The sequence below is a fragment of the Homo sapiens genome, chromosome 15 (assembly GCF_000001405.40).
Source record: "Homo sapiens chromosome 15, GRCh38.p14 Primary Assembly".
Lineage (NCBI taxonomy): Eukaryota > Metazoa > Chordata > Mammalia > Primates > Hominidae > Homo > Homo sapiens.
In genome coordinates, this window is record NC_000015.10 from 23,627,335 (window position 1) to 23,650,225 (window position 22,891).

The 22,891-nt window shown below is 45.8% G+C and overlaps 1 protein-coding gene and 1 long non-coding RNA gene across 2 annotated transcripts, besides 2 other annotated features; one reads left to right on the forward strand and one right to left on the reverse strand.

Moving 5' to 3' along the window:
- On the forward strand, positions 292-2,741 carry LOC124903576 (uncharacterized). Its single transcript, XR_007064789.1, has 2 exons — positions 292-1,783; positions 2,622-2,741. It is a non-coding gene; the product is annotated as an uncharacterized LOC124903576 (long non-coding RNA).
- Positions 1,459-1,980: an enhancer, noted in NCBI's record as "NANOG hESC enhancer chr15:23873940-23874461 (GRCh37/hg19 assembly coordinates)". NCBI's record gives its function as "activates a minimal SCP1, AML or CMV promoter by ChIP-STARR-seq in naive H9 embryonic stem cells {active_cell/tissue: H9 hESC(naive)}" and the evidence as "EXISTENCE:reporter gene assay evidence [ECO:0000049][PMID:30033119]".
- Positions 16,215-20,533, reverse strand: MAGEL2 (MAGE family member L2). Its single transcript, NM_019066.5, has one exon. The coding sequence runs from the start codon at positions 20,406-20,408 to the stop codon at positions 16,659-16,661; it is 3,750 nt and encodes a 1,249-aa protein (NP_061939.3). The 5' UTR covers positions 20,409-20,533; the 3' UTR covers positions 16,215-16,658.
- Positions 18,976-19,820: an enhancer, noted in NCBI's record as "H3K4me1 hESC enhancer chr15:23891457-23892301 (GRCh37/hg19 assembly coordinates)". NCBI's record gives its function as "activates a minimal SCP1, AML or CMV promoter by ChIP-STARR-seq in naive H9 embryonic stem cells {active_cell/tissue: H9 hESC(naive)}" and the evidence as "EXISTENCE:reporter gene assay evidence [ECO:0000049][PMID:30033119]".

Sequence of the window (22,891 nt, forward strand, 5' to 3'; positions counted from 1 at the left end):
CTATTGGCTGTTTGAAACATAACTTATCTTTTTAGTTCCTGGGTCCCTGACCTTGACAAACCACGGCAGAACTTGGTGGAGAAGGCTGAGTATAATTCTGAAATCCTGAACTTTGAGCTGGATTCAATACGTAGGTGAATTTTGGATTGTCTCCTCTAGGGAGAGTGTGTTCAACATTTAAAAGGAAGTGTAAAGTGGATATTTGATAAACACAAGGGCTACCATGGCAGAGGAGAACGCTGTGATCGCATCAAATCCTGTTTTCTCTTGGGCACACAGCTGCCCCACATATACCATCCCTAGCTGCAGTTAGTTGAGGTCATGTGACTGAATTCCAACTAATATAGGTAGAAATAAAGTACTCCACTCCCAAATACAGTTTATAAAAATCTCTGACATAATCCTCCACACTCTTTTACTTTCTCTGACAGGTGAACGGCATGGATTCTGAGAACCAGGAAGAGAGCCAAGTCATAAAAGGATCGGTGCCCGAGTGAGTCCTTGAATGGTTCATGGAACAGAACTTCTCAGTCTTCACTCCCCTTTACCCATACTGAAGTTTACATGATTAATATAATGTAATATATAACTAAGCCACTGAGATTTGCGAGTTTCTTTGATTGCAGCTGGTGTTTAATTTCTGAGTAACTAAGAAGGAATACATTTTTGAGGACATGGTATTTGGTCTGCAACCACCCATGGTTTTAGAGAAGAAGCAACCCATGTAGGTATGTGGGCACCAATTATTCCAGTTAGACAAACAACACACCCAAAGCCCAAAGTCTGGGAGAATGTGTTTAAGAAACAACACACAACGACGACAAAAAATAATATAGCTGGTTTCTAGTGAATGGAGAGGAGAGTGGTAGGAAATGAAGTTTAAGAGGAGTGTGGAGACCAGATCCCACAGGACTGTGTAAACAGTGAAAAGGAGTTCACATTTCATTATAATTGTGATGAAACCTCATTGGAAAATTTTAAGCAGAGAAAATCCATGATCTTACTATGATACACAGGTCTTTAAAAGATTGAGTTACTCTTTGTTGAATGAATTTTAAGAATCCAGAGAGGATGACAAGGGACCAGTTAGGAGATAATAATCTTCCAGGCAAGACATGTTAGTGACTTAAACAAGATTTATTACAATGGAAAGAGGAAAAATTGATATATCCCACTGAATCATTCAATTAATCAGGTCTAAAAAATATGGATTATACATTTATGTAATAATTATATTAAGATCTGTTGTGAGTCACTTAGGATAATGGCAAAAATATTAAAGGGAATATTAGGGAAAGTTATAGGAAATAATCACAAATCTTTTGAAAGGCCAAAAGCTTAAATAGCTTGTAATAATTGAACAGGCTAAAGGCAGCCGGTTCTTACCTTAGAGCACTAGGTCATAGGGTAAATACTAGGAACAATAGAGGATTCCCCAGTTACTTCTGTTTACCCTACCTCCATTAACTAATCTTTAAGCCAAATGGCCCTCTGGGTGGTTGTGGGTGGGGGTAGGGGCGGGGAGGTCAACTAGGGAAATTGCCCCCTAATGGTATTTACTTTAAACCGTAGTACCTAAGTTTTAATCATTTGTAAAACTACTTTCTTAACCATGTTAATTATCCTCAAGTGTGTTTACTCAAAGCTTCTGTTGTTCATTGTATACTAAATAAATGCCTGAAGTGCAAGCTGCTCAGGACCAGCCGCAGTGACAAACCTCTCCTGGTGTGCAGGCAGTCGGACGCTCAGCTGGACTGGCGAAACAAAGTATCTGTATGTCAATGTACGTTTTATTCATCCGTCTTTTGGGTCAGGGTCTGCGGGCAAACCCCCGCAGCTAATGCCCTCTGGTAAGACGCCATACCTCAACTGGTGCCCCGTGTAAGGTGCAATACCACAAAGATACAATACAATTGTTACATTAGCAAAACATATGGGTCATGAATTATGTTATGTTCAGGACAGTTGTAGACAGTCTGCAGGGAGGTCTAGTTTTAGCTTTTTTAGACTTAGTGTAAATTTAGTGAAGCCTGTAGTTGTTCACAGTAACAGAAAATACAAAAAACTGTTGGTTGATCTAGTGGCCACTAGATGGCCCGATAAACTCTACTTCATAGACCTCGGAGCTAGACACTGAAGTGACTGCAGTTTGTTGCTGAAAACTATATAGTGTAAAAAGCCTTTGTTGTTGTTATTGTGAATGGAAAATAATTATCAACATTATACAAATTAAACAGGTTCATATCGGAGAGGCTCTGCTATAGAGTCCTACAAAATGGAATTGAATATAATTTCTCTGATATAGAAAAACACTCATTTTAGAATGAAAAATAGTGATATGCATGTGTGTAAAATGTGTAATCTTAGTCTCAGGCTTCAGTTTCGTAATTTTAGATCACTTCCCTCTTTTTCATGAGAAAAGCTCCTAGACACTCCTATTTGGGAATTGTATAAATAGTGAATAATATAATGAAGAAAAAAGTCTAAAACAAGGACTTGCTGTACACTATCTACAGGTGTCTTGAACATGTTATATAAGGTATTCTTTTGCTTATTTATGAGTTTGGTTATTTGTTTTTATTTGCTGAATTGTAAGAGTTCTTTGTGTATTTTGGATACAGGTCCTTTATCAGATATGTGACGTGCAAATATATCCTCCAAGGTTGAAGCTTGTTTCTTCATTCCCTCAAGAGTTAATTTCACAGAGGGAAACATAATTTTAATAAAGTCCAATTTATCAATTTTTTTGTGGGTTGTATTTTTTATCATATCTAAAAATTTGTCAACAAACTCAAAGCCATGAAAATTTATCCCATATTTTCCTCTAAGAGTTTTGTACTTTTGCATTTTATATTTAGTTCTATAATCCACTTTGAGTCACTTTTTGTGTAAGATGTGAGATCTGTGTCAAAGTTCACTTTTTGAATACGGACATCCAATTTTTCCACCATCATTTGTTAAAAAAGTATTCTTTCACCACTGAATTGCCTTTGCACCTTTGCCACAAATCCATTGACAATATTTGTGTTCATTCATTAATGAGTTTTCTATTCTACTCCATTGATCTATGTGGCTACTCTTTCACCAATGTCATGCGGTCTTGATTTTAGAGGGAAAGCATTCTTTCTCTAGTCATTTAGAATAAAATTAGCTGCAAACTTTTCATATAAACCCTTTATTAGGTTAAGGAAGATCCCTGCTATTTCTAGTTTTCAAGACTGTATATCATGAATGGGTGTTGAATTTTGTTGAATATATCTTCTACATCTATTGACATGATCATATTTTTTCTTATTTATACTGTTAATAGGATAAATTATATACATCAGTATTTATAAATGTTGAATCAGCCTTGCCTTCCTGGAATGAACCCCATTTGGTCACATTATATTGTTCCTCTTATATATTGCTGGATATGATTTGTTAAAATATGTTAGGGAGATTTGTGTCTCAATTAATCAGAGGTATTTCTCCATAGTCTCCTTTTTTGGTAATGTCTTTATCTGGTTTTGGTTAATGCTAGCTTCATAAATGAATCAGGTAGTGTTCATATGAATATGCTAGCTTCATAAAATGAGTTAAGCAGTATTCCAACCTCAAACTTTCCAGAAAAAAAAGTGTTAATTTGTACTATTTCTTTTTAAAAATTTGGTAGAGGCTGGGTTGTGGTGGCTCACGCCTGTAATCCCAGCACTTTGGGAGGCCGAGGTGGGTGGATCACGAGGTCAGGAGATCGAGACCATCCTGGCTAACACAGTGAAACCCCGTCTCTAATAAAAATAAATACAAAAAATTAGCCGGGCATGGTGGCAGGCGCCTGTAGTCCCAGCTACTCGGGAGGCTGAGGCAGAAGAATGGCATGAACCCGGGAGGCGGAGCTTGCAGTGAGCCGAGATCGCGCCACTGCACTCCAGCCTGGGCGACACAGAGAGACTCCATCTCAAAAAAATATATATATATATTTGGTAGAATTCACCAGTGAAAGCATCGGGGGCTGGTGTTTTAGGTAGCTATTTCTCCTTGAGTGAGTTTTGGCAGTTGGTGTCTTTCAAAGAATTGCCTCATTTCATCTAGGTCATCAAGTTTATGACACAAGAAGGCTGGAGTGACGCTGGACTGGGTGCACTTCCCTCCCCCAAGATGGGATGAGATTTCGGTATTCCTGTCTAAAGCGAGCTCTTAGGGCTTCCTCCAGCCTAGGGTGCCCAGTGGCTTTTTCTCTGTGTCTTACATGCTGTATCTCCCTGGAGTAACCTTCTCTCTGGATTTCAGGGTGGCAGGTTGCCCTGTAACCTTAGTTCCCTGATGGGTTTAAAAAAAATCCTGTGTGCATGCTTACACCTGCTGCAACCATGAAGCCTCTGAGTCCCAAATACCATGTAAGAAAACAAGGGCTGAAAGTAAATAGTGATTCAGAAGTGAATCAAGTTTCATTGTAATTTATGGTCGTTGGTTATTGTAATATGTTTCTGCACGGTATTTTGCATTCAAAAAATTTCTATTTGAGTAAAATTGACTAGGGAGATGAGGTATTCCATCTCATGTTTGTCTTGAGGTTACTTGGAGCCTCCCCAGCACCCACCTGACCTGGGGACTCTACCAAAAGTCAAAGAAGCGGTGCTGGTGCATGAAACCAGGAATCTATGGCTACTTGGAGGAGAAACACGTAACTTGTTGCCCAAATCAGACTGCGGAATGCTTGGGATCAATTCAGATGCTTGTAGCTATAAGTAAAATACAACCCAACTAAAATTACTTTTTAAATGCCCTACAGGTAGGCCATTCCAGGATTTCTTGATACAGTGGCTCAACCGGATCACTGAAGCCATGGGTGGTTTCTGCCTTTGTTCCTGAGATTTTTGGTGATGTTTCTTTCACGACTGTGTGCTTACTAGGGCAGTTCCCGGAATCCCATGCAGATATTAGAGCGTCAGTGCTGAAGACAAACTATTTTCAAATCTCTCTCTCTTTTTTTTTTAGTGGAGTCTCGCTCTGTCACCCAGGCTGGAGTGTAGTGGCTGGCACAATCTCGGCTCGCTGCAACCTCCGCCTTTCAGGTTCAAGCGATTTTCCTGCCTCAGCCTCCCCAGTAGCTGAGGTTATAGGCATCTGCTACCACGCTTGGAAAATTTTTTGTATTTTTAGTAGAGACGAGATTTCACCATGTTGGCCAGACTGGTCTCGAACTCCTGACTTGACTTCAGGTGATCTGCCCATCTCGGCCTCCCAAAGTGCTGGGATTACAGGCGTGAGCCACCATGCCTGGCCGTCTCTTTTTAAAACAATGCTTTTATTATGGAGGAAAATATCCACAAACCCTTCCGACTAGATTTTGCCACATGTGCATGAATGGAGGGTGATACTTGAATTTATTATGATTAAGCTGACCCTGGATGAAGGAAGGGATTTATGATTAATGAATAAATTGGAGAGTAAACATCCTTACAAATCAAGTCTCTATCAGCAAAGAAGGAGACTGGATCAAGTGGGAAGAGTGGAAATGGGAAGCAATAGAGAATGCTACACACACTTAATGCTTTTTTTTTTTTTTTTTTTGAGACAGAGTCTTGCTCTATTGCCCAGACGGGAGTACAGCGGCGTGTGGCGCCATCTCAGCTCACTGCAACCTCCGTTTACTGGGTTCCAGTGATTCTCCTGCCTCAGCCTCTCAAGTAGCTGGGTGTACAGGCGCTTGTCACCACACTGGGCTAATTTTTGTACTTTTAGTAGAGACAAGGTTTCGCCATGTTGACCAGGCTGGTCTCGAACTCCTGACCTCAAGTGGTCCACCTGCCTCGGCCTCCCAAAGTGCTGGGATTACAGGCGTGAGCCACCAAGCCTGGCCAATGCATTACTCATTAATGGGGTATGGGGAAGGATGGAGTTGGATTCTGCCTAAATGATAAAAAAGTTTGGTCTCCTAACATAAAATTGACAAGCATGGGTGTCTGAGTACCAGCAAAATAAATTTTAAAATTGTTTATCCAATATCTGCATGGAATATTTTTCCCCAATACACTCTCTACCGATGATCACGCTGTTTCCAATTCAATTGTGAATTGGAGAATAGGAGGTTGGATAAAGCAGCTATCCAAAAGAGAAAAGCCTAAGTAATGATAATAGCTGTCATTGCCTACTTTACGGAAATGCATGGGGAGGCAGATTAAGCTCAGTAGAAAAGGCGTCAGGTAGATTGGACTGATAATGGGCATTTTGTAGGCAGATTTTGGCTTTCTGGATTTTTTTTTTTTTTTTTTGAGACGGAGTCTCGCTCTGTTGCCCAGGCTGGAGTGCAGTGGCGTGATCTCGGCTCACTGCAAGCTCCGCCTCCCGGGTTCACGCCATTCTCCTGCCTCAGCCTCCCGGGTAGCTGGGACTACAGGCGCCTGCCACCACGCCCGGCTACTTTTTTTGCATTTTTAGTAGAGACGGGGTTTCACTGTGTTGGCCAGGATGGTCTGATCTCCTGACTTTGTGATCCACGCGCCTCGGCCTCCCAAAGTGCTGGGATTACAGGCGTGAGCCACCGCACCCAGCCGGCTTTCTGGATTTTTACACCTGCTGCCTTATCCTAGCCTATTCAACTCTGATACTCACTCTGTTCCGGGCACACTTAAAATTGTCTTCTTCCCAATCCATGAATATCCCCTCCTATGAGACCACACACAAAAGGCCCCTGAATAACCTGCAATCACTAGCCAAAAGACCATGAAAGGAGAAAGCTAGCAAGACAGAAAACTTTCGGAGGCTAGTTTCCCTACTGGAGACAAACGCCCGTAGGAAAACTTGTGGCCCCACCCTCGACCCACTCAGCAGGACAGAGGGGAGAGCCTAGACTTCCAGCCTGGCCTGGTGATACTGAGGTAGCCCTCCCCTGCTGGTGTGGTGTCAGGGTGAGAATCTGGGACTTCGACGTTCACCAGGCAGTAACAAGCTGCCACAGTGTGGTGCCGACGGAGACAACCTGGGGAGCTTGAACTTTTACCTTCCTGCACCTTCCCTGCTGGGGTGCTGTTAAGGGGTGGCAAGTGAGAAGCCTTCCCATGCTAATGAGGCCTCCCTCCCCATTTTCTGTCCTTGGAGTTCACAGGCGAGCAATGAAAAGGGGCCTCTTCCCCTCTGAACAGGGTGGTGTCAGCAAAGGCAGAGTGCAGAAGCTGAACTTTTACCCCAGCTCTGTGCTGGAGAGCACGGCCTCCCGCTCACTGGGTGTCCATGGAGACCACCTGGGGGTCCCGGACTTATGTTCCTACCAGGCGGTACTGAGGTGGGGTCCTTATTTCCCACTCATACAGTCTCTTAAAAAGGAAAGTCTATTGAAAGAGAAGAATTTAATTAGATCCAAAGTCTCATAACACAACACCCAAAATATTTAGGATACAATAAAAAGTCACTCTTCACACCAAGAACCACAAAAATCTCAACTGGAATGAGAAACGAAAGTCATCAGAAACAAATGCTGAAATGATGCAAATGTGCTTCATTGAGAAATTATACACATGCTTTCCGAAGAACAGAAATCTCCATGCCCAGATGGTTTCACTGGCGAATTCTACCAAATGTTTAAAAAGGAATTAGCACCAACTTTACACAATCTCTTTCAGAAAACAGAAAAGAAGGGAACAATTTATTTTATAAAATAAATAGTGCCCAGATACCAAAATCAGACAAAAACAATCCAAAAAAGCCAAACTATGAACAAACATTCTTCATGAATATGGATGTAAAAATCCTAACAAAATATTAGTAAAGAGAATTCAGCAATTACATACATATAAAATGATCAAATTGTGTTTATTCTAGAAATAGAAGGCTGATTCAATGCTAAAAGATAAATGAAAATAATCCACCATATTGACTAGCTAAAAAGAAAAATATCACATCATCATAGCAATCAATGCAGAAAATACATTTGACAAAACTTCATACCCATTCATGACAAAAAGAAAAAAAACTCTAAGAAAAATAGAAATAGAAGGGAACTTCCTCAACTTGATATAGGGTACCTACACAAAACCTACAGCTAACATTATACTTCATAGCAAAAAACTGAATGTTTTCTTCCTAACGTCAGGAGCAAGGAATTCATATCTGCTCTCACCACTCCTATTCAACATATCACTGGAAATCCAGCATAATAAGGGACTTTTTACTTTAAAATTATACAAATAGGAAAGGAAGAAATAAAACTGTCTCTATTTGTAGACGACACAATGGTCTGCAAAGAAAATCCCAAGGGAGGCCGGGCGCGGTGGCTCACGCCTGTAATCCCAGCGCTTTGGGAGGCCGAGGCAGGTGGATCACGAGGTCAGGAGATCGAGATCATCCCGACTAACATGGTGAAACCCCATCTCCACTAAAAATACAAAAAAAAATGAACCGGGCGTGGTGGCAGGTGCCCGTAGTCCCAGCTACTCGGGAGGCTGAGGCAGGAGAATGGGGTGAACCTGGGAGGCGGAGCTTGCAGTGAGCCAAGATCGCATCACTGCACTCCAGCCTGGGTGACAGACCAAGACTTCGTCTCAAAAAAAAAAGAAGGATACAAATATGAAAGGAAGAAATAAAACTGTCTCTATTTGCAGATGACACAATGGTCTGCAAAGAAAATCCCAAAGGATATATGAAAACTCCTAGAACTAATATGTGAGTTCAGCAAGGTGCAAGCTACAAGATCAACATACAAAACTCAACCATTTTGAGTTTTGAGTTGAACAGGTGGAAACTAAAACTTATAATATAATATAGGGCCAGGCATGGTGGCTCACACCTGTAATCCCAGCACTTTGGGAGGCCCAGGCAGGCGGATCACCTGAAGTCAGGAGTTCGAAACCAGCCTGCCCAATGTGGTGAAACCCCATCTCTACTAAAAATACAAAAAAATTAGCCGGGCGTGGTGGCAGGCGTCTGTAATCCCAGCTACTCAGGAGGCTGAGGTAGAAGAATTGCTTGAACCTGGGAGGCAGAGGTTGCAGTGAGCAGAGATCGTGCCACTGCACTCCAGCCTGGGTGACAAAACTGGAACTCCATTTCAAAAAACATAATATAATATAATATAATATAATATAATATAATATAATATAATATACAATCACTCAAAAATAAACCTTATTTATTTTTAAATACTTATAAACTTAATAAGCATGTATAGGACATGTATGCTGAAAAATACAAGTGCTGATGAAAGAAACCAAAAAAGATCCAAATAAATGGAGCGATATACTGTGGTTATGGATTGGAAGATTCAATGCAGTAAATGTCAGTTCTCCCCCACTTAATATACAAGTTTAACTCAATTCCTATCAAAATTCCACCAAGACATTTTGTAAATATATGCAAGCTTATTTTAAAATTTATGTGAAAAATCAAAAGATCTAGAATAGCTAAACATAATTTTGAAAAAAGAATATGGGAAGAATCCCTATACTCAATTTTAAGACTTATTATATGACTGCAATAATCACGACAGTATGGCATTGGTGGAGGGATATATCTCTGTATAATACACATATCTATATCTATCTTTTAAATACCTATCTTATCAAGCAAATGGGACAGAATATAGAATTCAGAACTCAGAAATAGCACACGTAAATAGGGCTAACTGAATTTTTACAAATGTGCAAAAGAAAATATTCAATGTTGAAAGGATAGTATATAGTATTTTTAACAAATGTTAAAATGTTAATGAAACCACTGGACATCCAAAGGCAAAAACAAAACAAAACAAAACACAAACACAAACACACACACACAGCAAAGAAAGAATCTCAGCCTAAACTTTACGCCTTATTCAAAATTAGCTCAAAATCGATCATAGATTTAAATACAGAACATAAAACGATTACATTTTTAGAAGAAAACATAACAGAAAATCTTCGGCACCTGGGGTCTGATGAAGAGTACTTACATATATATGACACCATGATCATGACCCATAAAAGAAAAACAAAATCAATCAGACTTCATCGAAATTTAAAACTTTTGCTGTGTGAAAGGCCCGGTTATGATAACGAAAGCCACACTCAACACTGGGGAAAAGACTTGCAAAATGCATATATAATAAAGGACTCATATCCGGAATATAGAAATCATTCTCAAAGCCCAATACATTTTTAAAAAAACTCACTTAGAGCCTGGGCACCGTGGCTCATGCCTGTAATCTCAGCACTTTGGGAGGCTGAGGCGGGCAGATCACTTGAGGCCAGGAATTCGAGACCAGTCTGGCCAACATGGTGAAACCCCATCTCTACTAAAAACACAAAAAATTAGCCAGGCATAGTGGTGTGCGCCCGTGGTCCCAGCTACTCTGGTGGCTGAGGCATGAGAATCGCTTGAACCCACGAGGTGGAGCTTGCAGTGAACCAAGATGGCACCACCGCACTCCATCCTGGGCGACAGAGCAAGACTCCATCAAAAAAAAAAAAAAAAAAAAGTCACTTAGAAAAACTAAGCCATTTTATCAATGAGGATATAGAAATGAGAAGCCGACAGAAAGATGTTCGACAACTCCAGCCATAAGAGGAATGTAAATTAAGACCACAATGCCATATCACCACACACCTATTAGGACAGCCGAATTAACAACAACAACAAAAAGATTATATCAATTGCTGGTGAGGTTGCAGAGAAATTGGATTTCTGGGGCCAGACGCGGTGGCTCACGCCTGTAATCCCAGCACTTTGGGAGGCCGAGGCGGGCGGATCACGAGGTCAGGAAATCGAGACCATCCTGGCTAACACGGTGAAACCCCGTCTCTACTAAAAATACAAAAAATTAGCTGGGCGAGGTGGCGGGAGCCTGTGGTCCCAGCTACTCGGGAGGCTGAGGCAGGAGAATGGCGTGAGCCCGGGAGGTGGAGCTTGCAGTGAGCTGAGATGGCGCCACTGCACTCCAGCCTGGGCGACAGAGTGAGACTCCATCTCAAAAAAAGAAAAAAAAAAAAAAAAAGAAAAGAAAAAAAAAGAAAGAAATTTGTTCTCATACATTGCTGGTGGAAATGTAAAATGTTACAGTCCCTCTGGAAAATAGTTTGAAAGGCTCTTTGAATAAGTAACCATAGACCTATCAAATGATACAGCAATTATGGCCATGGGCATTTGCCACAGACAAATGAAAATGTGTGTCCTTAGAAAAACCTGCGCTTAAATGTTCCTAGCAACTTTGCAGTAGCTAAAAAATGGAAATAGCCAATCCCACAAAACAGTAAATATTTTATTAGCATCAAAAAATGAATGACTGATACAAAAGTGTGGATGGATGTCGAGGGCATGATACTCAGTGAAAGACGCCAGTCTCAAAGGTATTAATGCTTTTAGAGCACATTCTTGAAATTACAAAGTTATGGAGATGAAGATCAGAGTAGTGATTGCCAGAGGTTAAGGATGTGGGGGAAAGAGATGGACACAGCTGTAAAGGAGTAGCGTGGGAGAAATCTTGGTGGTGGTGGAAGAGTGCTGCATCTTGATTGCAGTGCTAGTTACACTATCTACACACGTGATAAGATGGCATTGAGTTGAGCTGAACGTGCAGATGGTACAGTGTCCACGTCCTTGATGTTGTACTACAGCTATACAGGATATAAACACTGGGGGAAACTAGGTTAAGGGTATATGAGACTACCCTGCACAGTTTTTGCTATTTCCTGTGAATCTATGATTATTTCAAAACAGAATGTTTTTGAGGCTTTCTCGCAGAAGCTTGTTACAAGGCCAATATTTTGATTCCACAGCTTTGTGGCCCCATCCAGCTGGCTGTTTCAGGGGAAGATTCTGAGCCATTGGAGAGAAGCTCCAGGAAGTCTCCTGGGTCTAGAAAATGTTCTGTGGTGATTGCTTCTGTTAACAGCAGCTCACAAGCTGAATTCACTCAGAACAAGGGATAGCACAGAAAGCAAGTCTCATTGGGAGGTGAATGGGCAGCTTGCAGAACCAGACCATTTGCACAGAGAAGCGCATGCCGCTGACACAGCCAGGATGATCTATTTAGCGTCACTAATAAGAGTAGGAGGAAGCTGATAATGAAGAAGGCTCCTCGTAAGTGTCATCTCTTAAAAAGAGGCAGGTACAACTTTCAGAATCTCGACAGATTAGAGGATTGTACTACTTACTGTGCTAGTAGTGTTGTATATATCCCTTGGTGGAATTCACAATGGAACCCTCTGGGAGATCCGAAAGAACAAATTTGCTTGCACACAGGAAAATGTAGCTTGGGCCCTGTATATCAAGGCCTTTTTCCCTTTAGGACCCTCCTGGTGGTCTGCTTAGGCTTTCAATTCAGAATCCGAGGAATTCTTTGAGCTGTCCCACAGAGGGACCCCTGGCATGGTCTGTAGATTTCTCTGTAGGTAAACCTACTCTAACCAGCCGCTCCTGGACCCTCACGTGTGGAAGGTGAGCTGAGGGTTGCTGCACCTTACTCTAAGGAACACTGAAGGCCTTGAAATGCTTTAGGCAGGGAGAGGCATTATGAGGTGTGCACAGCTGTGTGGCGGCGGCACAGAGGCCCCTGTGCAGCCAATGTGGAGGTTTGATTAAGGGGCAGTACTGAAGGCAGAGACCATGAAAAAGGAAACTGCCAAGTTCTGGCAGGGTGCCGTGTCCACAGGGATGGAGAGGAGAAAAAACACTGACATACAAATTGGCAAAACGGGCAAGACCTGACAACCGATCAAATCAGAGAGAAAAAGGGACCCAGGCTTCCAGCCCCGGCAGCTAGGGGCAGGAGTGCAAGAATGATGTATCCTTTCAAGTATCATGACCATCGGGGTGAATTGCTGAGTTCTGGGGGTGCCTATAACTCTGAGGGCAAATCAATAATATAGGCTACATGCCCAGTAAAATGGATATTACTGCGGCCACAGGGCCCCGGCCCCTTAATCTTGAAAGTCCTCTGTCAATTGCAGCCACAATCCTTAACTCTCGTTTGCTGACAAGGTTGATTCACTGGTGGCTTTGAGAAACAACCGGTCCTTTTCTCTGTTGCTCTCAGGAGTAATGTCTTTGAGTAAAATTATTCCAAAATTCAGATCATCTTCTTAAGACAAATATCCTAAAATATTAACTTGCTTATAGTTGAACACTCGACATAGGAGCACATTGAATTTCATCACTTTGAGAACTATAGTTTTTCTTCACTAGAAATCATATATTTTACTGAGGTCATTTATGGCTTTGGAGAGTGTGCTAGCACCTAGTTTTAAAATTTTCAGGCACAGAGTGCAATGACTTCTCTACAGCCCATAATGGTGGATGCTGAGTCTTTCATTTTCTGTGTGTTGAAACAAACTACAAGTTGTTTTCTGAGGAAGCCTGTGGTTTTTTCAGCAGAAACTCACTGTACTCCCTTGACACTGTAGGTTTATATTGGGGAGGGGGGCCTGCTCACACCCTGATAAATTTCCCATATGTTCATGAACAGCTTTCTCTATGAAGAAGTCTTTGCCTTCTCTGTGGATTGTTCTCATTCAACATATTCCCAAATGAAGAATTTCTAGGTAAAATAGTATTACCATGTTAAAGCCTTTTGAAGACAGAGTTGGCTGCATTGATTTCCAGGCAAATTGTAATAACTTATACTTTCACTGGTTGTGTATAATGGTTCCAGTTTCATAACAATATCATTGACATTGGACATTACATGGGGTTTTAGTTTATTCTATGACAATTTAATAAATGAAAACTGGAATACAGATTTAATATTTCTATCTTTATTAGTGAGGTGTAACAGTTTCAACAGTTATTTGCCATTTTTTTCCTGTGATACATTTTGCCTATTACTAGGTTTGGGCTTTTTGCTCAATTTTATAGTAAAAGAGATTTGTGTTACATTTTCTACATTTTCTACATTTTAGCACTTTCAAATAAGTGGGATTTGAATTCGTTCCCACTGTTTTGTTTGTTTGTTTGTTTTTGTTTTTGTTTTTGTTTTTTTTGAGACAGAGTCTCACTCTATTGCCCAGGCTAGAGTGCAGTGGTGCGATCTCGGCTCACTGCAAGCTCCACCTCCATGATTCATGCCATTCTCCTGCTTCAGCCTCCCGAGTAGCTGGGACTACAGGTGCCCGCCCGCCACCACACCCGGCTAATTTTTGTATTTTTAGTAGAGATGGGGTTTCACCTTGTCAGCCAGGGTTGTCTTGATCTCTTGACCTTGTGATCCACCCTCTTCGGCCTCCCAAAGTGCTGGGATTACAGGCGTGAGCCACCGCACCCCCGGCCAGTTCCCGCTGTTTTTTAACCTGTATTTTTCTATATTCCTGGTCTTTGTTTTCTGCTTTTCACTGTCATGTTAGCTGCACTTTCTTAAACTTTTCAGTTGAATATCTAACTAGTTTACTCATTGGTAATGAACACATTTTTCATTGTTGCAATTTATATCTCATTACAATATAAACAAATTTAGGCTTTAAGTCCTTGGCATTACTTAAAGAAGGCCATTAGATATATGTCACGTGTGAGAGTGAGGTTTGCAGCTGGGAAGTAAGCCTCTCTACCATGGAGCAGAGCCAGCCCCCACCTTAAGTATGGCACCAAAGTCCCATGATGGGACAAAGTCCCAAATTTGGAACAAAGTCCCAAATTTTGTTCCACAAAGAGCATCTTGCTCAGGCACGCCATGAGTTAATGGTCTGGAGAAAACTTTATAAGCAATCATAAATAAACTAAACACAAACAAGAAATACTAGACCAATATGCCACTTTACTGGCCCAGCAAAACCTCCTTTGGGGACAGTTCTCAGCTGGGGCATTGCTGTCTCCTTCAATGGACATTTGCTGTTGTTGTAAAAATAAGTAAACATTGCTTGCGGACAAATGCGCAGGACTCTCTGACCCAAGGAGTTTATAGGAAACTGCCTCCCAGTTTTTGGACTACCTGACCACTTAGACAACTTGAGAAAGAGCTCCTGCGGCCTGGCAGGTCCTGGGGCGGGGATCATCGTCCTGGAAAGCTCAGTTCTGCGGGTGCTAGGAGTAGAGTCTGCATCTTGTGGGCTCCTCTCCTAGTCAGCTTCCTAAGTGGCAGCGCTGCAGGACCAAGGATAGAAATTGTTGAGTGAAGAGCGGATTGGACTTGAAAACAGATGCTACCTTGGCCTATAAGAGAAAAGAAGGAATCTCTGGGCACAGATATAGATAAAATTATGAGCAAAAGTGGTGAAGCAAGGAGTAGCTGCAATCCAAGTATATACATGGTTGTGAAGTTAAGCACTGTGGGAGGGGCTGTTGCTGCGGCAGCTGCGGTGGCACCTCTAATCTGCCGCTAGGTGGCAGGAGAATTCCACCATCGCCACTAACCGCATCTGGGACTTTGGCTTCACCCTAGAAGCGGGATATGGGATTGGATTTCTTCCTTCTGATAAGACAGTATGCGGTGGCAAGTAGGGCTGATGGTCCCCTGTCCACAGGAAGAGAGTATGACCACAAGAACGTCCTTTTGTGTACACCAGCCTGGTGTGTGCTTGAATATCCTTCCTCAAAACACTCAGGCCAGTTCATTCCCTTGTCCCTTTCCTGCCTAGACCAGGTTCATAGCCAAGGGCTGACCGCGGTTGTTCAGCAACTTCAGGCGTTGCCGGCTGCCTTCCCCTACAAGTTAGAATGACCCTTCCCCCCAGGACCTTCCCCTAGAACTCTATGTTGATAGGAATGCACCCTGCCACGCCCTCCCCTAACCCAGCCACTACTGCTGGCAATCTGCAGGGTTTCTAATTAAATGAAGACTGTTTTTTCCTTTTCCCTGTTATAAGCCTGGATATCCTGCAGGGAGCACGTTTCCATCCCGGTAGCAGTGTGTTGATGAAACCCAAATTTGAACTGCTGGACACCCCGCCACGGGCCACATGATTGACAAATACCCTTTTGGCCAAATTCTCCATGAAGCGGGACCACCTGGTTATTTGTAGTCCTGCAGGCAGATGGCCCTTCTTCTCCACATACCCTTAAGGACATTTCTGCTTCTAATAACAACGTTACCAGCTGGGCACTAACGTGTGTGCTTTAATTAATCTCCTGGAGAAATCTTATGTATAACCACCCACTGAAATCACTGCATCCTTATAAAGATGAATGGAGTACTCTCCTTGGAAAACAATTCCATCACCGTGGTTTTTACTATAACTGAGAGTAGTCTTGCTATTCATGTCTATTCAGAGAATACGGCAAAACTTGGCTTCCACCATCTAGTGTAAAAATTAGAATAAAGACAAACACTTCTGTTATGCTGAAAGTATATTTATATATATAGATATAGATATTTACTTCTCTGTAGACAGTTTTTACTGATGAGTCATTTGAACGTTCAAAGAACAACCGATTACAATGCTACATGAACTATACCAGAAATGAGATGGATAGCTTCTCAATTCATTTCACAAAGCCAGCACAAAGCTGATACCAAAACATAACAATTAAAACACAAAACAGAGAACCACAGATCTCACTTAAAAACACAGATGCCAAAATACAGAACAGAACAGTAGCCGATTGAAATCAACACCACATAAAAAATGTACAAAGCTTTGGCAGATACGAAACCAAGTTGAAAATCCAAACGTACACTCGTGGAACTGGAACACAAACACCAGGAACAAAAATGTCCCCCCACCCTGTCAGTGGCCTCTGGCCAGGGAAACACAGGAGCGAGATCTCTGCTACACCTATTAGCGGGGAGGGGGCCTGCTGGTGGGGCCGTGGGCACTGTCACCGGTGTCAGGTTCATCCTCATCTGTGTCTTCCCACTCACACTCTGCGAGCGCTTCAAGGTAATGGAATGGCCAGCTCTGTGGATCTTTCTTATGGAGCTTGGCCAAAAACCTCAGGACAAGCATCTTGCTGGTTTCCAGGAATGCTCGAGGGCCCCAGAGGAACTCATACTCTGCGGGCTCAGTGTAAGGGATTCGCCTGTACTCTAGGTACTTCTGCCTGACAAACACTTCGGTGATGAGCTTCTTAGTATTTCCAAAGAGACCGTTTGTCTCCCGGACATCCAACCCTAACTTGAACAGAAAATTAAAGATCAGATCCTCCCTGACACAGTTGCCTTTCATAAAGATGAGGCTCAAGACCACCATCAGAAGGCCAAACTTGGGCCTGTCTAAATAGGATGCCACCAAATTCCCTGTATGGTAGCCCAGCTTGTTGATGATAATATAGGCGTGGTTTTTGGTATCAATTTCTTTCAATTGATAACCAAAGGCACACTCCAGCTTATTGTTGGCACGGTTGATGATATCTAAGCACTCATCTTTATACTCTCGGAGGATGACTTTCACCATCTCCGAGCGCTGGACAGGCACCTTGGCTTGGTCCTTGACTAAGAGGAACTGCACCAACGCATTTGCCCTCTCATCCAAGGGAGACAAGGGCTGTGCCTCCACCTTGGAATTATCCTGGGTGGCACTGGATCCCGGAGAGACACTTGCGACCTCAGACACAACTACGGGCAGAGAGCTCCCTGGGCTTTCAGAGAGACCCAGGGCCCTGGAGGTGCTCGGGCCCTCCCAGGCACTCAGGGCCCAGGATGCGCTGGGCCCTTCCCAGCCACTCAGGATCCTGGAGGTGCTAGGGCCCTCCCAACCACTCAGGCCACGGGGGGTGTTTGGGTGCTCCCAGTCACCCGAGACCTGGATAGGGCTTTGGACCTCCCAGTCACTCAGATTTAGATTCTCCCAGGGCCTTGGGCCCTGCCAGTCATGAAAGGCTAGCGTGTGGCCACGGCTGTCCTCTTGGGCTTCCAGATGCTTCTTCTTCCGGGTGGCCTTGCCGGAGCGGCGTGGCGGCTCGACGGAGGTCTTGGAGGCCTCTTGAGTGGTGGCAGTTGCCTGGGGGGCAGCTGCTGTAGCCATCAGGAAGGTGGGCACTGCCTGCGATGCCTTTGAGGCATTCATATTGGGCTGTGGGACCCATGGAACTGCAGGCAGGGCCTCTACACAGGCAAAGGGATCCTGCAGAGCATATGGCAGTGACTTTGGGGTCTCTGAGGCAGCAGAGGGGCCTTTAAAGGCATTCAGAGAGGCAGGCTGAAACTGGGAGGTAGCTGGGAAGACACTTGAGGAGGGAGCAAAGGTCTCCGGTGTGGCAGGCAGGTTTTTCCAGGCAGCTGGCAGGTGTGCTCGCGCAGCTGACACTGCCTTGGGAGCACAGAAGGTGGCAGCAAAGATCATGCGGTCTTTTGAAGGGGCCCTGCGCTCCTTCGAGGAGGTCCTGCGCTCTTTAGAGGAGCCCCTGCGGTCTATAGAAGAGGCCCTGCATTCTCCTGATGGAGTCATCAATGATTTAGCGGAGCCCAGGGGAAAATTTGCCGCTGCTACCGGGGGTCCGGGCTGGGCCTGCAAGACTGCAGGCGGTGCCTGCCAGGAAGGCTGGAGCGGCAGTGTGGGCACCTCCGCTTGCGGACCCGATGCCTGGGCCTGCTGGGGGGGTAGCTGGATTTGCACGGCTTTTTGGGAGGGCGGGGCTCCCTGAAAGGGCTGCTCCAGCTGGACCAAGGGGGGAGCCTGCCTCTGGGCCTCCTGGGCAGGCAGGGGCTGCCAGATGTGAGTGGGGGCCTTCTGGGCCTGCCAGGCCAGCGCCTGTGTCTGCTGCACCTCCTGGAATTCCATTGACGTTGGAATCTCGTGTGGCACCGGGGGCTGACCTTTGGGGGCCTGCCAGATGATGGAAGGGCAGTGCACAGCCTGCGGGGCAGACAGTGGGGCAGACAGCGGGGCCGGCAGCACAGGCTGGGGCACCTGCGGGCCAGCGGGCGGCGCCGCGGGTACCTGCGTAGCAGGTGGGGCCGTAGGCACCTGCGGCGCCGCCTGCACCTGCGGGGCCGGCAGCCTAGCCTGCGGGGCCTGCCGCAGTGGAGGTGGGGGTGGCAGGGCCTGCCAGAGCGGTGGCTGGGTGGCCAGGACCTGTGGGGCAGGTCGGATGGGCGGCGGCGCCTGGCGGATCAGCGGCGGGGCCTGGCGGATCACAGGTGGAGCCTGGCGGATCACAGGTGGGGCCTGGCGGATCACAGGTGGGGCCTGGCGGATCACAGCGGGGGCCTGGCGGATCACGGGTGGGGCCTGGCGGATCACGGGTGGGGCCTGGCGGATCACCGGTGGGGCCTGGCGGATCAGCGGTGGGGCCTGTCGCACCGGTGGTGGGCCAGGGCGGATGGGTGGTGGGCCAGGGCGGATGGGCGGGGGCCCCTGGCGCATGGGCGGCGGCACCTGCCAGGTAACGGCTGGTGCCTGCCAGGTGACCTGCGTGGTCTGCCAAGTCAGGGGAGTGGCCTGCCAGCCTTGCTGCGTGGCCTGCCATCCTGGCGAGGTCGCCTGCCAGCCCGGGGGTGTGGCTAGCTGCGCTGGGGGTGCCTGCGGGCCCTGGGGAACCTGCGGAGGAGCCCTTATAACTTGAGACTGGATTTGCAGGATCAGAGGCTGAGCCTGCGGGGCCCAAGAAGCCATCGGCTGTGCAGGTGGGGCCATCGGCTGTGCAGGTGGGGCCGCCGGCTGTGCCATCGGTGCTCCTGAAGCTGGAGGCTGGGTCATCGGAGCTCTCGCACCTGGAGGATGAATCATCAGGACTCCTGGACCTGGAGGCTTGGCCATCGGTGCTCCTGAAGGCTGAGGCTGGGTCATCATGGCTGCTGGAGGCGGCTGGACCATCGGTGCTCCCGGAGCAGCAGGCTGGACCATCAGGACTCCCGGAGTCAGAGGCTGGGCCATCAGGACTCCCGGAGCTGGAGGCTGGGCCATCGGTGTACCCGGAGGGGGAGGATGAGCCATCGGTGTCCCCGGAGGTGGAGGATGAGCCATCGGTGTCCCCGGAGGGGGAGGATGAGCCATCGGTGTCCCCGGAGGGGGAGGATGAGCCATCGGGGTCCCCGGAGGAGGAGGATGCACCATCGGGGTCCCCGGAGGAGGAGGATGGGCCATCGGGGTCCCCGGAGGAGGAGGATGGGCCATTGGGGTCCCCGGAGGGGGAGGGTGGGACATTGGGGTCCCCGGAGGAGGAGGATGGGCCATGGGAGCTCCGGGAGCTGAAGGATGCACCATCAGGACTCCCGGGGTCGGAGGCTGGGCCATCGGGGCTCCCGGAGGTGGAGGATGCACCATCAGGACCCCGGGAGTCGGAGGCTTACCCATCGGGCCCCCCAGCGGGGGAGCCGGGACTATCGGGCCCCCTAGGGCAGGAGGCTGGGTCATCGGAACCACCGGGGCGGGCAGCTGGCCCTGTGGGGCCTCCCAGGCAGGCTGAGGTGCCTGCCAAGCGGCCAATGAAGCCTGCAAGTCAATTGGAGGTGGATCCCAAGGGACTGGCGGAGCCCGGGAGGAAGCGGGCGGGGCCCGCATCAGAACCGTAGGGCGGCTATAGACAGGCGGCTTCGGGGCCTCCGCCGGAGGACTCGAGTCACCCAGATTCTTACTTAGCTGCGACATGTCCCTTTGCTGACAGCTGGTGGGTCTTTTCCTCGGACAGCTGCTGGGCCTTTTCCTCCAGAGAGAAGAGAATGCCTACGTGGCTGTTCAGAGGCTCCCTCCCTGCTGAATGCTGAATAGGAAGTGAGTGCTGCTCGCTCCGCAGCTTTCCGCAGTAAGGAGGAGGGGGGAAGGGGGCTCAATCCCGCCCCTTCCCCGCCCCCGACCACCACAAGTGGATATTGCATAGGGGCGTCTACCGGAGTCCTGGCTGACACAGGATCCCTTCTCACTCTGTCCAGTCCCCAAATGCAGACCAGTCAGACTCCACATGGATGACTTTTCACAGGGGAGTGACAGGAACCCATCCATGTTTTAGAAAAATCACTGTACTGCAGTGTGGAGTGGGAGCAGACCACTGGAAACATGGAAGGTATCCAAGACGGCGGGGGGAGATGGTGTGGTCTGGGCTAAGATGTGAGGCGGAGAATGAAAAAAGCGCATTTACATAAGAGAGTTCCAGGAGTTATAGCAGACAGATACCTGTATTATAATTGAATAAAGGAGTCAAAGACATGGAAAAGGCACACAAGTCCCTGCCTGGAGAAAGTGGGAAGTTGCAGGGACTGTTACTCTCTTAGGGTCCCAGGAGAGGCACACGGGAAGAGAGGCTGATGAGTATTGGCAGACACAGGGCATTTGCGGTGCTGTGGGACTGCCAAGGAGAGATACCCTGTAGGCACTCCTGTATGATGTCTTGGGAGTCCTGCTTGGCTATTCCTCATGAAAATAGAGTTGTGGGAGGGAATGTGGTTGCACTGGGTCTTGAAGAACACAGGCATGTTAGAGACACATGGAGAAAAGGGACAGCAGCGAGTAGAGAGAGAGGAAAAGAAGTCACGGAACTGAGACATGCCACACATCAGTGGAAGACAGCATTTTTAGTATGGGAAAACTGCCTGTGGAATGGCTCGGATGCAGGAACAGAGTAGGTTTCTCAGTATTTTTCATCTGCAGAATGGGAAAGAAATTTAAAAAATGAAAACCAAATAACGCACCTGAAGATAACAAAATGGGTATATAAATAGATCAAAAATTGATATATTTGGATATATAGGAAAAACAGGCAAAGAATAAAAAAATTTCTGGGGAAACTTCTCGTGACAAAAATCAGTTTAAATATGAGACAAATCAAGTATTAACAGATAAAGCAGATGACAATAGTATTATTGGGCAATGCTATACAACTTTATGGTGAGAGGAAGTGATAATCTCAGTAATTGAAAAGCTTTCTGGAAATATACAAAGCACTAAATATCAAGGATGTTTCGTTTAAATAGGCTGTTGGCAGCCTACGGCAGGAGTCCAGAGTGACAAAACGTGCCACCAGGGGGCAGATGAGGACGATGAAGGGTACACCCCACTCCTTCCCAGGTACCCTTAGCCAGGGGTCCTCAAATTTGGTAATTTATGGACCCAAGAGAAGGTATGTACACACTCCCAATGTTATTATTGCCTTAAACAATAATAGAAGAATTTGGGGGTAAAGTTTCAGTGATTTTCTGGACACTTAAGGGATGTTGTTATTCCCAGGAAACTCTTTTCAAAACAGTCAGATTTTTAAGGGTGCTTGATGATACAGTAGCCCCCCCCACCTTACCTGCAGGGGATACATTCCAAAACTCTCGATGCCCGAACCTGGAGACAGCACCAAACCTTATATATACCATGTATCCCTTTCATTCTCCTTCTTCACAATTTCACAGATAGTTTTGTTTTTGCCATATATCTTAGCAATCTCAGCATGCGATTTTTTCTTTCCTTATTAAGTCAAGAACTTTCACCTTTTTCCTTCAAGGAAGCACTTCATAGCTTCCGTTTGGCATACCTAAATTGCCAGGATCACTATTCTTACATTTTGGGGCTATTACTAAGTAAAACAAGGGTTCCTTGAACACAAACACTGGGAAACCGATGGTAGATCTGATATCTGAAGCAGCTACTAAGTGGTTAATGAGCAGGTAGCGAATACAGTAGCACTCCTGTGCCTGCAGTTTCACATTGTGTGGTTTCAGTTACCTGCAATCAAATGCAGTCCAAAAAATTAAATGGAAATTTCCAGAAATAATTTATAAGCTTTAGATTGCATGCCATTCTGAGTAGTATTATGAAATTGTTCTGTTTCGTCCTGCCTGGGGCATGAATTATCCCTTTGTCTAGTGTATCCATGCTGTATATGCTACCCGCCTGTTATTCACTTAGTAGCTGTCTCGGCTATCAGTTGAAAACATCGTAGTACATATAGGATTCAGTACTATTTCCAGTTTCAGGCCTCCACAGGGGGGTCTCAGAATATATCCCCCAAGGATAAGGGTGGACTACTGGACATCACTCCTGTGTATCCCCAGAGAAGGCCATCTACCACAGCACACAAAAAGCTTCTGCAGAATGGATACTACCGTGTTTCATGGTTTTCGTTTCTCCCTTGGGTTAATGGCCCAGAT

What these genes read in the sequence shown, in the direction of transcription:
- MAGEL2 (NM_019066.5), bottom strand. Translation starts at nt 20,408, where the DNA reads ATGTCGCAGCTAAGTAAGAATCTGGGTGACTCGAGTCCTCCGGCGGAG.